We start from the raw sequence: 13,553 nt of genomic DNA, 5'->3' as shown, positions 1-13,553 counted from the left end.
ACCAGAGAACCTGAGGGGTAACGGAAGGACAGCAAAACACAGAGGCCTGGCCCCAGTAGGGGAATCGGGTGTAACTCGGAAGAAATGCTGACGGAGCTCTTACCATGTGGCACGCGCAGGAGCATGCTGGCCTGTTTTACTCAGCCCCGGCCCTGGCCACAGAGAGGACGGGACCTTCCCCAAGTGAAGTGGGTTCTTCAGTTGTGGAAAAGGCCTTGCCACCCACTGCCAAGCATTCCCTTAGCTCCCCACAGGGCACGGAGAGCCAGGACCTGCTCCAGGAGGGAGAAAAATGTGAGTGACTCCTGCCCTCACGGTGGTTAGGATCCGATTGGAGATGAAATTTGACATGTGTGACCTGACTGAGCAACAGCTTTCTTTTTAAAAATGGCCCCGTTTCCCAGATTCTGAAGTACAGTATTTTATACTTGTTATGGAAAATCAGAGACATAGAAAAGTAGAAAGAAGGCCGAGTGCTGTGGTTCACACCTGTAAGGAGGCCGAGGCAGGTGGATCACTGGAGGTCAGGAGTTCAAGACCAACCTGGCCAACATGGTGAAACCCCGTCTCTACTAAAAATACAAAAATTAGCCAGGCACGGTGGCAGGCACCTGTAGTCCCTGCTACTCAGGAGGCTGAGGCAGGAGAATTGCTTGAACCCGGGAGGCGGAGGTTGCAGTGAGCTGAGATTGCGCCACTGCACTCCAGCCTGGGTGACAGAGCGAGACTCTGTCTCAAAAAATAAAAAACAGAAAAGTAGAAAGAAGAAAAAAGTCACAGATTATTTCTTCAACAAGAGATTCAATTGCCATTACCCTTTGGATATATATATATATATATATATATATATATATATATATATATATAAACATGCTTTATTATTTATGTACATAATCAAATCTCCCTTAATATTATGTTTTTAGCTATTTTTAATAGTTTAAGTATACTTTATAAACCTCTTTTGAGAAGCAGCTGTTGTTTAGAGAAAACTTCTATGCATATTACAAACAATTCAAATCATTCAGAAGACTATAAAGTAAAGATTATCTCTGGCTGGGCGCGGTAGCCTATGCCTGTAATCCCAGCACTTTGGGTGGCTGAGACGGGCATATCACCTGAGGTCAGGGGTTCGAGACCAGCCTGGCCAACATGGTGAAACCCTGTCTCTACTAAAAATACAAAAATTAGCTGGGCGTGATGGTGTACACCTGTAATCCCAGCTACTTGAGAGGCTGAGGCAGGAGAATCATTGGAACCCAGGAGGTGGAATTGCAGCAAGCTGAGATCATGCCACTGCACTCCACCCTGGGTGACAGAGCAAGAATCTGCCTCCAAAAAAAAAGAAAGAAAAAAAAGATTAGCTCAGATCCCCTCAACTGGAGACACCATTGTTAACACTTGGTAATGTCCTACATAAGAAGCCTCCTTGTGCATAAATCCACACATACTTTTGTTTGCAGATGCAGATAAATATAAGTGAAATGATGCCGATCGGGCCTCCCCACCCCGTGGTGTGTCCCTTACGTCTTTGCATGTCACTGGAACCTGGGAACCTGGTTCAGATCATTGTTCTATTGGGTGGCTATTGCTGTGACTTAGTTGCTTGCTCCTTTATTGTGATACACGTGTTGTACGGAGGTGGACCTCTTTCTGCTCTGGGCCTCTGTTTCATCATCTAAGGCTGGGGCAGGAGGGTGATGTAGGGGTGGCTGTGTGCTGAGGGCTCTGCAGCTCTCAACAGCACGGGGCTGTAATCCGTGTTGAATTGGAAGGGACCGTGGGTGTAGTCTGGGGTGGATCTGTCTGAGCTGGAGGGTCAAGGGAGGATTTCCAGAGTGGGCAAGTTTGGGAAGTGGGAACACTTTGGAGGGTGGGAGAGAGCAGGGACAACTCAAGAAGAATTTTAATTTCCCCTTCCCAAGAGGGCTGGGGCATAGGGCCACAGGCTGAGACTGCCAAGTGGGAAGCTGCTCTGCCTCCAGGTGGCCGGGGTGGGGTGGTTTAGGTGCCTCCCCGCTAGAATCTATCCTGACCATGTGCTGTAGAGGGGACCTGGACTGGCCCCCTCAGCCTTTGGCTATATGGTTTTATCCTGCGAGGAAAATCTCAGGTGTCCATACCTTGGAGGAATGAAGCCCTGAGTGGCGTGAAGTCCCAACGGGAGGCTCCGCATCACTTGACTGTCTTTTCTGTTATGTTCCAGGTGTCTCTGATTGTCTTTCTCCTCTGAGCGTCCCTTATCTTCTTTCTAACCTTTGTCACCTTCCAGATGTCTCTGCCACCACAGATCTCTTCTGAGGCTGCCCGTGGCCACCAGGCCCAGGTCTTCCACCATGCAGTTGGCCTGCCCAGAGGCTCCCTGCCGAGCCCCTGCCCCGGCGCCCTTGGGTGCACTGTACAGCCCCAGGGCAGCAAGTGCATGGCTGCAGCCTTGCTCCCAGCCTTCTCCCTTTACAAAGGCTTGGGTCTGCAGCAGCTTAATTTCCGTGACCAGTTTGCATCACTCTGTGTAGCCAGTAAACATAAAACTGGATTATTTTCTGTTGCCCCCTTAGGATGGAATGTCATCCCAGGAGCCATCTCTTTTCCTCGGAGGGCATCTCAAGACCCCCCAGAGTTTGTAATTGCATATTGTGGGGCAGCTCCTCTCCTGTAATGAAAATCCACATGTATCAGTGTTTATAGTTCACACGGACCGTTCTCTGTGTCTTTGGCCTGGGTGGTTGCGTGTCTGCGTGTGCTGTGCTCGTGTTGCGTGAGGCTGTGGGAATGTGATCGTTTGTCACACAGGGGTGGGCCCACCATGTCCCCATGTAGCTGTGTCACAATGGGAGCATCCAGGCTCGGGGCCCTTTCTGCACTGTCAGATCATATGCCTGATCAGAGAGCTCAGGCTCTCCCCAACCCTTTTGTTTGACCCTGAGTCCCCGAAACTTTTGACTTTTCCTTAGGCCTTATGTGGAGGAGCCACGCCACGTGAAGGTGCAGAAGGGCTCAGAGCCGCTGGGCATCTCCATCGTGAGTGGAGAGAAGGGCGGCATCTACGTCTCCAAGGTGACCGTGGGGAGCATCGCTCACCAGGCTGGCCTCGAGTATGGGGATCAGTTACTGGAGGTGAGAGGGAGCTGCCCTCCTGCATGGCGCCCATGGAAACCTGCACTTCTTCCCCCTCTCCTCCTCCTAGGGAACAGCAGTGCTCCCAAGTCCCCAGGGCCTCCTCCCTGTCCACAGCCCCGACCCCCCCACTGAGCCCATCCTGGTGTTTCCCCAGTTCAACGGCATAAACCTGCGGAGCGCCACGGAGCAGCAGGCGCGGCTCATCATCGGGCAGCAGTGTGATACCATCACCATCCTGGCCCAGTACAACCCCCACGTGCACCAGCTCAGCAGCCACTCCCGGTCCAGGTGAGTGCGGGCCTCCCAGGGCCGTCTGGGCTGGGGGTGGAGAGGTGGGTGCAGCAGCACTCTGCTCATTTTAGGGAGACCCAGGGTGCCAGCCGTAAGTTCTGGGGATCCTACTGCTGCTAAAGAGAGAGTTGACCAGCCCTGGATTTTGGAAAAGGGGCATATATAGAGAGGCTGTCTCCTCCTGAAATGGGGTGTGGAAACAGATGGCTGTGGTCCCCCTGACCAGCAGGGGCCCATGGTAGCCAGGAGTTGTGGCCCCGGGGGTGGATTCTCACTCAAAGTGTTTGGCTCCCTGTCCAGGAGCAGATGCTGTACACCTGTCTGTATCTGCCCCTGAGCTGTGGGTTGAAGGGCAGAAAAGAAGGGGAGGCATGCCCTGCAGTGCTGCGCCACAAGCTCAGCAGGAGAGATGGGATGCACAGGCAGAGGAAAAGAGACAGGATGCTCACAGCTTCCTGAGGTCAGATGCCTTTGGAGAGGGCCCCTGAGCTGAGGACAGGTGGAGGGGAGAGGACAGGTGGATGTCATGGGTCCAGGCTTCTAATGTGTCTGCTCTGCTCAGGGCACAGGGTGCAGGGCTATGTGACCTGGTCCCCATTTATAGCTCAGATCTAGTTGCCACAGGAGTGGGGGTGGCTCTGGGTGGCTTCGTACTGCTCCTTATCCCTCCTGTCCTCCGCCTCCAGCTCACACCTGGACCCTGCCGGTACCCACTCCACTCTCCAGGGCAGTGGCACCACCACCCCGGAGCATCCATCTGTCATCGACCCACTGATGGAGCAGGACGAGGGGCCTAGCACCCCCCCAGCCAAGCAGAGCAGCTCCAGGTCAGCAGACGTTGCTGTGAGCCTTCCCTGTGTCCGCTTCGGCTGGGTGGGGCTGAGCACATTCTCCAAGTGGCGTGGGCACTGGGCAGCTGGCCTCATGTGCTGCAGGCCGCACACCAGGTCTTCAGGAGTTGGGCCGGGAGCACGGCATTCCTTTTTTCCTTCCCTACTCTCTCTTTTCCTTTCTCTTTTTCTCCTGTTTTCTATTGACTTGTTTTTTCCCCTGCATCTTCTCTTTCTCTTCTCCTTTTCTTGTTCACTCGCTTTCTGAGTCTGTCTTTGGACACATTCCCACAGTCATCACCCGGCCAGGCCCTGGGCTCTGGCCACCCACAGCAGTGCTTCCCCCAATGAGGTGGCAGACCAGTGCCGGGCACGTGCAGCAGAGTCAGGGTGCTGGGAGGGCACTGCCGGCCGCCGCAGAGCAGGCAGGAAGATCACTGGAGTGTGGCAGGGGAGGTGGCAGCTGGATTAAAATGTTCAGGACAGGCAAGAGCCAAGAGTGGGCATAAAGAGAAGTCCAGGCCGAGGGAGCAGCAGAGTTCAGGAGGAGGAAGGAGCTCCATGGGAGCTGCACAGCGTCCAGCCTGGCCTGGGGCTGCAGGGAGGGCCATCCAGGCCATGGTGTGACATGATCACTCTGCCGTCCTGGAGGAGCTGTGTCTCCAGCACTGAGAGGCCTTCACCAAGCCCTGGGCAGCATCTCACAGAATGAGGCCAGCTCTGCATTCTCTATACCAGAGTCTGTCACATTGGAACTTACCTGCTGCAAGGTTTTCCTCCCGGGCTGGCATCTCCCCTGAAGCCCCCTGTATCTGTTTCCATCGCTGTCCCATCTCACTCCCTCCATGTGTTCAGCAGCTTACTTTCAGCTTCCCTTCCTTGATTGTAAGTGCCTTGATGGCAAGGGGCCCCTCTTCACAAGTTAGCAGTTGCTGGTCTATAGAAGCTTCTTCGTAGACATTTGCTGAATACATTGCTGTGCTCTGGACAGTGAGGCCAACTTTACCTTTCCTTAGGAAGTACTAAGTTAGGAAAATGAGTGTGATCCACATGGGAGGGAGGCCATCCTGATCTTTAAGGCATGAGATTGATAGCCGGGCCTGGGAGCAGGGGCACTGATTTACGGTTTTGACTGCCCCCGCTAACTGGCTTTGGACCTGGGGTCTTGCCTTCATCTCCAGTGCACCTTAGCATCCTGTCCCGAACGCCGAGCCAGTAGAACTAGAGGCCACCTCTCAGCTCCCTGTGGTTCTGAGACCCCAAGAAGCAGGCAGAAAGCGGTTAGGGCATTGGCCACTGCTTTGTCTTTTTGTGCCTCCTCTTTGTGCACAGTTGAGGAACTTTGTTTTTTTCCTGAAAGGATTGCGGGAGATGCCAACAAGAAGACCCTGGAGCCACGCGTTGTCTTCATCAAAAAGTCCCAGCTGGAGCTTGGGGTGCACTTGTGTGGTGGGAACCTGCATGGGGTGTTTGTGGCCGAGGTGGAGGATGACAGTCCTGCCAAGGGTCCTGACGGCCTCGTGCCAGGGGACCTCATCCTGGAGGTGAGTTCTGAGCTGCTGAGCAGGCCAGGCCTCCATCTACCTGCACAGTGGGCTTGCTGCCATCTCAGGTGGCACCAAAGACGGAGGAGTACAGCCTCTCATCTGGTGAGCCAGTCAGGGCTGACTTTTGTTGTTGTTGTTGAGGCAGAGTCTTGCTCTGTCGCCCAGGCTGGAGTGCACTGGCACAATCTCAGCTCACTGCAACCTTCACTTCCCAGGTTCAAGCGATTCTCCTGCCTCAGCCTTCCGAGTAGCTGGGACTACAGGCATGTGCCACGATACCCGGCTAATTTTTATATTTTCAGTAGAGACCAGTTTCACCATGTTGCCCAGGCTGGTCTCAAACTCCTGACCTCAAGTGATCTGCCCGCCTCGGCCTTCCAAACTGCTGTGATTATAGGCATGAGCTACCGTGTCCAGCCTCAGGATTGATTTTTTTTTTTTTTTGAGACAGAGTTTTGCCCTTGTTGCCCAGGCTGGAGTGCAGTGGTGCAATCTCAACTCACCACAACCTCCGCCTCCCAGGTTCAAGCGATTCTCCTGCCTCAGCCTCCTGAGTAGCTGAGATTACAGGCATGCGCCAACACGCCCAGCTAATTTATTTTTGTATTTTTTGTAGAGACGGGGTTTCATCATGTTGGCCAGGCTGGTCTCAAACTCCTGACCTCAGGTGATCCACCCGCCTCGGCCTCCCAAAGTACAGGGATTACAGGCGTGAGCCACTGTGCCTGGCCAGGGTTGATTTTTAATCCCTGTAAACCCAGAATCCTGCCAAGCCCTTCTGAGGAGGTCCCTGTGAAGCCAGGCAGGCCATTGAGGGAACCTGAGGGCAGAGCCTTGGCTCAGGCCCTGGGCATCAGGGGGTGCTCGCCCTCAGGTGATGTAGCTGCAGGACTCTGTTCTGATGAGAGAGGATGGTCTTTCTCTGTGGTCTCCTGCCTCATGGGGGAGATGGTTTGTGAGAATATAAAGGCACAAGTTGGGCTGGGTTTGGTGGCTCACACCTGTGAATTTTAGGAGGCCAAGGTGGGAGAATTAGTTGAGCCCAAGAGTTCAAGACCGGCCTGGGCAACATAGTGAGACCCTGTCTTTACAGAAAACAAAACAAAAAAATTAGCCAGGTGTGGTGGAGTGTGCCTGTTGTCCCAGCTATTCTGGAGGCTGAGGTGGGAGGATCACTTGAGCCTAAGAGGTATAGGCTACTGTGAGCTGTGATTGCACCACTGCACTCAGTCTGTGTGACAGAGGGAGACCCTGTTTCAGAAAATAAATAAATAAAAGCACAGGCAACATCAGCAAGAGGAAGGTCCCTATTCTGAAAAGCCCAGACTTGCCAGTCACCAGAACAGGGTTTTTCCTGGATAAGCTGTCAAGGGCAGGGCAGCCACTTGGCAGAGGACCTGGTGTCCAGGGAGCATGCACAGGACCTGGAGACTGGGGAGACCATGAAGACTCAGTCCTTCCTGCAGAGGGGAGGTAGCCAGAGTCTCAGTTAAGGAGGGATGTTGAATTTCTGCCGTATGGTCAGCACTGGCCCCTCTCGGGTGCCCAAGCTGCCCCCTGGCTTCTGCCTTCTGATGCATCCACCCCCATCCCTGGCAGTATGGCAGCCTGGACGTGCGGAACAAGACAGTGGAGGAAGTCTATGTGGAGATGCTGAAGCCCAGGGATGGCGTCCGCCTGAAGGTGCAGTACCGCCCTGAGGAGTTCACGAAGGCCAAGGGCCTGCCTGGTGACAGCTTCTACATCAGGTACCAGTGGCTGGGGAATCGGTGGGAGATTTGGAACCAGAGGAGAGGCTTTCACTGGAGACTCTTTTCCTGGTGAATGGCTCTCTGTTTCTTGCCCCCCAAGGCTGGGGCCATGATCATCATTCCTTGACACTCAATCTGCACGCTTATTTATGTTGAGATGATTGTGACTTAGAACAACCCTTTAGGGCTTAAAGAACCAGCTGGGCCCCCTCTTTAGGGCTTAAGACCTAGAGAATTTGGAGGCAGTCAAGCCCCGTTTTCCTGTGTGCTGTGCTCCTCTTTTTCTGGTGTCCCCCAAGCCAGGTTTGCAGATCCCTCTGCAGTGTGTGTGGACTTCCAGGCATCTTCAGTGCCCTTACTACTGTATGAAATGCTGTGGGCATTTAGGGATGGCAGCAGGCTTTCTAGGAGGAGCTCAGAGCTTTCTTCACATTTCCTAAGATCCAAGATCACAGAAAGCATGAGAACACTGATGCGGTACAACTCCCTGTCTCTAGGGTAGAAGATGACATATTTCCATCCTAGAGAGATTCCAGTCTGTAGGAACCAGGGGCCGGGCCTGGGCTTCGAGGAGGGAGGCAACTGGGAAAGGCCACCTGGAAAGGGAAGTTATGGCCTCAGATCTTGGTGAGTTCTTTGATGGGGATGCGCCCTCAGTGTTAGGGGAGCAAAGGCAGTCTTTGCCCCTTTATGTAAAACACAGGGCTCCCCACTTTGAGAATCACCACCCTCGGCGATTCCTGATCAAGTTTGGAGACAGCCCAAAGCAGAATGGCAGCCTTAGGGGCCTGGCCACAGAAGGCACCTGGTTCGTCCTTGGTGGCCAGAGCCGCCTGATCGTGTTCCTTCTGTGCTGTGGTCCAGGGCCCTGTACGACCGGCTGGCAGATGTGGAGCAAGAGTTGAGCTTTAAGAAGGACGACATCCTCTACGTGGATGACACCTTACCCCAGGGCACGTTCGGGTCCTGGATGGCTTGGCAGCTGGACGAGAATGCCCAGAAGATCCAGCGCGGGCAGATTCCCAGCAAATATGTGTAAGTGTTCTCCGGGCCTGGGGTGGGGTGGGGCAGGGGTCGCCGAGGGCCACCAGCCATGGAGCTGTCCCATGGGAGGGGGCTGGGGCCAGGGCTGCTGGAGGAGGGATTCTGCTTCTTATCTTAGCTTCTGCTCTCTACATTTTGCCAAAAGTGCTGGTCTAAAAAGCTGCTCCTAGTGTGAGTCAGTGCTGTATAGAGCACAGTGATGGGTCAGAAGGCATAACGTGTTTTAGAAAAATGGATTTATGGAGATACTCGTGCCTTGCCGCTCCCTCAAAGTGTACCATTCAGTGGTTTTCAACATATTGATAGGTGTGTGCAGCCGCCACTACAGTTAATTTTAGAGCATTTCCATCACCTCAAACAAACCCCAGACCCATTAGCTGTCAGCCCCTTATCCCACTGTCCTCCCACCCAGCCCTCAGCCCTAGGCAGCCACTACTTTACTTTTGATACCCATGGGTCTCCCTGTCTGGACTTCTGTGTGGTTGGGATTGCATAGTGTGGCCTTTCATCTGGCTCCTGTCACTGAGCATGTTTTCGAGGCAGCCTGCATCCCTGCATCATTTCCCTTCTATGGCAGGAAGCGTAACTCGTCATGTCACCAATTGAAGGCTGTCCTAGCAGTTCCTTTTGACACCGAGCTGAATATGCTGTAGTAGAAAAAATCGCCTGCTCTGAGAGCTTGCCCTGGTGCTGGTGTTTGTGTCACCCCCGCAGCATGTACCGAGGGTTCCCAGGGGCGTGGGAGGAGATGTAGCCTTGAGACCTGCCAAGGAGTGTGGGGGGAGCCCAGTGTCTGGCCCACCTTTGCTTTTCTCACCAGGAAGGGCAGGAAGGGCAGGGCAGCAGGGTCTCGATGGCCCTGCCCAGCATTGTCCCCTGTGCCACAGGATGGACCAAGAATTCTCCAGGAGGCTCAGCATGTCTGAAGTCAAAGATGACAATAGCGCCACAAAGACGCTGTCAGCGGCTGCACGCCGGTCCTTTTTTCGGAGGAAACACAAGCACAAACGCAGCGGGTCCAAGGACGGGAAAGACCTGCTCGCCTTGGATGCCTTTTCCAGTGACTCCATTCCACTCTTTGAAGGCAAGTGGCTGAGCTCATTTTCCAGTGGGCTCTCCAGATGGGGCTTGCTGTGGATCCAGGAGCTCCACAACAGGGACTTAAACAAAAGAGAGTCTTACTTTGCTTTTGTGCGCAAGTCTGAAGGTGTGTGTTCGGCTTGGTCGGGGGGTGCTGCCATCTTCAGAGCCACATCTATGGGGTGTGGCTTCCATCCTCCCAGTCACCGCCTGTCAATGCAGCTGCAGCCATCATGTCCCTGTTTCAGGCAGCAGGAGGAAGGAAGGAGTGGTAAGGCAGAAGTGTGCCTCAGCTGAGCGTGCCTCTTTCAGCAGCTATCTGGAAGCCCTAACCTGTGACTTCAACTTGCATCTCATTGTCCACTTGCATGTGCAAGAGAGGTCAAAAAGGCATGTTTTGGCCAGGCACAGTGGCTCACACGTTTAATCCCAGCACTTTGGGAGGCTGAGGTGGGTGGATCACCTGAGGTCAGGAGTTCAAGACCAGCCTGGCCAACATGGTGAAACCCTGTCTCTATTAAAAATACAAAAATTAGCCAGGTGTGGTGGCATGCACCTGTAATCCCAGCTACTTGGGAGGCTGAGGCAGGAGAATCCCTTGAACCCAGGAGGCGGAGGTGCAGTGAGCCAAGATCACGCCACCGTACTCCAGCCTGGGTGACAGAGCAAGATCCTGTCTCAAAAAATAATTAAAAAGAAAAGGCATGTTTTAGCTGGGTGCATTGCTGGCCTCAGTAAGAGGTTCAGTTACTGAGGAAGAATGGAGGGATAGCTATTGGGTAGGCAAGAAGCAATCTCTGCTGAGTGCCTTGCTTGCCATTTGTTTTTAGGTTCTTACAGGCTGCTTGGTAGTGACCAAGAGCTGTCGGTTTCTGCAGAACTTCGGCATTTCTGGCCTCAGTCCTGTGTTCATGAACAAGTCTTGTATAATCCTTATGGAGCAAGATGCTAGTCCAGGGCTGGAGTTGAGTGATAGGAGATGTCAGACATCCCCTGGTAGACAGCCCTTGTGGAAAGGATGCATTTGTCCTTTAAAGCAAGAGGCCCTTAGGAACGTGGCTCCCAGGGCCCTGGTGTGTGTCTACTGTCTACTGTCCTAGAATGTGCCCTCCCTGGCAATCAGGTGTGGGGGTGGCAGTGAGCAGCAGAGTGTAGGGCAGCTGGCTGCCTCCCTCCCTCTCTTCGCTTTTTACAATGAAGACCTTAGGCCTAGGGAGTTCAGTGGATCACACTGTAGTTCATGGCCCACTGTCACTATCAGCTGGGACAAGGGTTGGCAAACTATTGGCCATGGACCGAGTCTGGACTACTGCCTATTTTTAAATGGTCTGTGAGCTGAGCATGGGTTTTTACACTTCTTAAAATGTAAGATGTAAAAAAGTCTATTAGCCCTTTGCTGATAACAATTGCTTAATTTTGCCGTTTTGCCTTCAAAGCCTAAAATATTTACTATCTTGCCCCTTATAGAAAAAGTTTAGGCCAGGCATGGTGGCGCATGCCTGTAATCCCAGCACTTTGGGAAGCCGAGGTGGGTGGATCACTTGAGGCAGGGAGTTCAAGACCAGCCTGGCCAACATGGTGAAACCCCATCTCTACTAAAAAATACAAAAATTAGCCTGGTGTGGTGGCTCATGCCTGTAGTTCCAGCTACCGAAGAGGCTGAGGCAGGAAGATAGCTTCAGCCTGGGAGGTCAAGAGCTGCAGTGAACTGTGATCACGCCACTGCACTCTAGCCCAGGCAACAGAGTGAGAACCTGTCTCAAAAAAAAAAAAAAAAAAAAATGCCAACCTGTTACTCAAGGCAAGGTTTCTCTCTTATTTTGCTTTTTGTTTTTTTTCCTTCACTCTCTTTGGCCTCCACTCTTGTGCCCTCTGCTCCTTTCTCCGTAGGTGCCATCTCCATTATGTTTGGCATTTGTCCGGTGGTGCTAGTGTCTTTAAAAAATAGCCCTTTGTCTATTCTTCCTTTTAGCTCTTCAGGTGTTTTTCAATATATATCTTGAAGTTGTCGTTAGATACATACACCTTTTGCATTGTTACACCTTCCTGGTAAATTAACCTTTTTATCGTTATAAAATGCCCTTCTTGATCTCCAGGAATGTTTCTTTCTGAAAGTCTATTTTACGTGATATTTTTATTGACATTACCAGTTTTCTTTTGGTTATCTTTGGCACAGTTTATCTTTTTCTTTTACTTCAAACTTTTCTGTCACTTTATATTTAAATATCCCTTATAAGCAGCATGTGGGACTTTTTAAATCCACTGTGGCAATCTGTCTTTTTAAAAATTTTATCCAAGTGTAACATACATACAGCAATGCACACATTCATTTACAGAAAAGTGAGCAGTGTGAGGAATTTCCACAATCTGAACACCCCTGTGGCAGTCTTGATTGTTTCATCAAGAGTATTTACCTCATTACATAAAGTAGACATTTCCCATCTTACTGTTTGTTTTCTATTCATTCTACCTCGTTTATGTTTGTCCCTTCTTTCTTGCTTTTTAAAAATGAATCATGTGTTTTGTTTTATTCTGCCCCTATATCATCTACTGTTATCCTCTCACATCCACTAGTGTTTAGTTGTTTCTATTTTATTCTTTTGGGGGTTAAAATAGACCTCACAGTGTGCACCTTTGACTTACTGCTAAGAGAAATCATTGCTTTGGCCACTTCCCTGATAATTCTAAGACATCAAACCACTAACTCCATTTATCTCTTTTCTAACTTTGATACTATTCGCATTTTATTTTTTTATTATTTTATTTTTTGAGGCAGAATCTCGCTCTGTCGCCCAGGCCGGAGTGCAATGGTACGATCTCGGCTCGCTGCAACCTCTGCCTCCCAGGTTCAAGCGATTTTCCTGCCTCAGCCTGCCGAGTAGCTGGGATTACAGGTGCCTGTCACCACATCTGGCTAATTTTTGTATTTTTAGTAAAGACGGGGTTTCACCATGTTGGCCAGGCTGGTCTTGAAACTCCTGACCTCAAGTGAGCCGCCTGTCTTAGCCTCACAAAGTGCAAGGCACTGCACCCGGGATTACAGGCGCAAGGCACTGTCCCCGGCCATACTTTTCTCATTTTAATTCTACAGATACTTTAACTCTGACTCAGTCTGTCCATTTGCACATCAATTATTCATCGGTTTTTGCCTTTTACATTTCCATTGCTCTTTATTCCTTCCTGCAGTTTTGTGCTTCTGATTTTGTTTTCTTTCTGCTGAACAACTTGCAGAAATGTTTTTCTTGTAGTGCAGGTTTTTTGGTGACACATCCTGTCAGTGTTTGTGTCTGAAAATGTCCATTTTAATATCGTTTTTGGAGATTCTCACTGGATATAGAATTTTAGATTGGTGGATGTTTTACTTGGGTGCTTTAAAGATATCATTCCTGGTCCCTGGCTCTCTTTGTGTAGTAGTTTCCTGTGGCCGCTGTACCCAATTACCACAGACTGTGTGGCTTCAAACACACAGGTTTATCCTCCCACAGTTCTGGAGGCCAGAAGTCCACACTCAGGACCACTGGGTCAGTCAAATTGTTGGCCAACCTTCGCTCCCTCCGGGCTTGAGGAGAGAGCCTGTTCCTTGCCCCTCCCAGCTTCTGGTGGCTGCTGCCAAGCCTTTGCTGTGGCCACATCACTGTCATCTTCAAATCTCATCTGCTCCATCTTCACGTCACCTCGTCCTCCACGTGGGTCTCTCTCTCAACTCCCTCTGCCTCTCAGAGGACCCGTGGGGTTTTATTTAGGACCCACCCAGATACTCCAGGAAAAGCCCTTCCTCCCAAGGCCTTTAACTGAATCATCGCTTCTTTTGTTGCATAAGGTGTAATGCTCATGGGATCTGGGGCTTAGGACATGAGTCAGTCTTTGGGGGACACTTGTCAGCCTGCCACACT

The 13,553-nt window shown here is 51.5% G+C and overlaps 1 protein-coding gene across 17 annotated transcripts in view, besides 1 other annotated feature; it reads left to right on the top strand.

Moving 5' to 3' along the window:
- DLG5 (discs large MAGUK scaffold protein 5) overlaps positions 1-13,553 on the top strand; it is a 149,946-nt gene that overhangs the window by 125,408 nt on the left and 10,985 nt on the right. For 15 of the 17 annotated variants that reach the window (XM_047425998.1, XM_005270276.5, XM_006718056.4 and 12 more), the window contains 7 exons: positions 2,952-3,114; positions 3,272-3,405; positions 4,095-4,235; positions 5,599-5,782; positions 7,385-7,533; positions 8,401-8,571; positions 9,468-9,664. In XM_047425998.1, the coding sequence (XP_047281954.1) occupies positions 2,952-3,114; positions 3,272-3,405; positions 4,095-4,235; positions 5,599-5,782; positions 7,385-7,533; positions 8,401-8,571; positions 9,468-9,664 (1,139 nt within the window). Of the gene's footprint in view, positions 1-2,951; positions 3,115-3,271; positions 3,406-3,708; positions 3,861-4,094; positions 4,236-5,598; positions 5,783-7,384; positions 7,534-8,400; positions 8,572-9,157; positions 9,431-9,467; positions 9,665-13,553 lie in introns of those variants that run through there. The other 2 variants (XM_011540346.3, XM_047426002.1) reach the window with 2 other exon arrangements.
- Positions 6,071-6,570: an enhancer, noted in NCBI's record as "H3K27ac hESC enhancer chr10:79568517-79569016 (GRCh37/hg19 assembly coordinates)". NCBI's record gives its function as "activates a minimal SCP1, AML or CMV promoter by ChIP-STARR-seq in primed H9 embryonic stem cells {active_cell/tissue: H9 hESC(primed)}" and the evidence as "EXISTENCE:reporter gene assay evidence [ECO:0000049][PMID:30033119]".

The sequence above is a fragment of the Homo sapiens genome, chromosome 10 (assembly GCF_000001405.40).
Source record: "Homo sapiens chromosome 10, GRCh38.p14 Primary Assembly".
Classification (NCBI taxonomy): Eukaryota; Metazoa; Chordata; class Mammalia; order Primates; family Hominidae; genus Homo; species Homo sapiens.
Note: the sequence above shows the minus strand (reverse complement) of the source record. Positions and strands in the feature narration are given on the sequence as shown.